The sequence below is a fragment of the Homo sapiens genome, chromosome 11, assembly GCF_000001405.40.
Source record: "Homo sapiens chromosome 11, GRCh38.p14 Primary Assembly".
In the NCBI taxonomy this organism is placed as follows: domain Eukaryota; kingdom Metazoa; phylum Chordata; class Mammalia; order Primates; family Hominidae; genus Homo; species Homo sapiens.
The window spans coordinates 19332162-19333550 of NC_000011.10; the positions used below are offsets into that span (position 1 = coordinate 19332162).

A 1389-nucleotide genomic window follows, 5' to 3' on the forward strand; every position below is an offset into this window, starting at 1 on the left:
TCCACCTCCTGAGTAGCTAGGACTACAGGCATATGCCACCATGCCCAACTAATTCTTTTACTCTGTGTGTGTGTGTGTGTGTGTGTGTGTGTGTGTGTGTGTGTGTGTGTGTGTGGAGATATGATCTCACTATGTTTCTCCAGGATAGTCTCAAATTCCTGGGCTGAAGTGATCCTCCCACCTTGGCCTCCCAAAGTGCTGAAATTACAAGTGTGAACCACCATATCCGGCAAAAGATGCTATTACTTCTTAAGTGTCTCCTTTTCAAAATTTTCTGCAGAGGCCATTCACCCATCCCCCTGGGTATGAAGACATGGAGAATGGATCAACCCCTCTAGTCCAGGCTTATATTTTTCAGAAGGGTACCAAGAACTGGTTTGTGAGAGAGCAGAACAATGTCATCTAACCTCAGAAGGGAGGTAACCCCCAAAATGGTCAAACTGCCCTCATTTTCTCAGGGTGCCTTGGCTCTGCACCAGTTCTCGGTCTTGTGTCATCTAAGCCTTCCATCTGACCTAGTTGAATTATGATGTGGCTTCAGAAAGTTTCTAACACCTGCTTCTGATGCATGTATCTTAGCGCCTTTGCTATTCTTTGCTGCTTGCCTATATTTTTAGCTTTACATTTCAGGTTCTGTCAGCCTTTCCACAGAATTAAAATGCCCCTGTTCACTTGTGCTGCTCCAGGGGAAGAATATTTGCCATTTTCCACAGATGATGACCCTGGGATGGAGAAGATGTCTGCTTTACTAAGGCTTCTAGATGACCCATAAGAGTTATAGTGAAAATATCTCATTTTAAAAAGGGTAACATATTTTTAAAAATAAAGTATTATCTTCCCACCTTATCATAAGGAATTATTTTCCTATTCCTTTGCTTATCTGTCCACATGCATATAAATTTTACTTAGTCAAAATGATGGCATGCATTTATTTTATATATATATATATATATATTTTTTTTTTTTTGAGATGGAGACTCACTCTGTCACTCAGGCTGGAGTGCAGTGGTGCTATCTCAGCTCACTGCAAGCTCCATCTCTCAGGTTCATGCCATTCTCCCACCTCAGCCTCCTGAGTAGCTGGGACTACAGGCGCCTGCCACCACACCCGGCTAATTTTTTGTATTTTTAGTAGAGACGGGGTTTCACTGCATTAGCCAGGATGGTCTCGATCTCCTGACCTTGTGATCCGCCCGCCTCGGCCTCCCAAAGTGCTGGGATTACAGGCATGAGCCACTGCACCCGGACTATTTGGTTTATATTTTATGACGTGAGTAGGAATTTCACCAGCTACATATTCAAGTGTGCAAAGATAATCATTCTATTTTTCTATAACTTTAGCTCTATTTTGAACTCCCTTTACACCTGTTGGTAGAAAACAAAGAAACA

At 42.5% G+C, this 1389-nt stretch overlaps 1 annotated feature.

The window, feature by feature from the left end:
* Nucleotides 244-293: an enhancer, noted in NCBI's record as "active region_4517". NCBI's record gives its function as "activates an Ori minimal core promoter by ATAC-STARR-seq in GM12878 lymphoblastoid cells {active_cell/tissue: GM12878}" and the evidence as "EXISTENCE:reporter gene assay evidence [ECO:0000049][PMID:35858748]".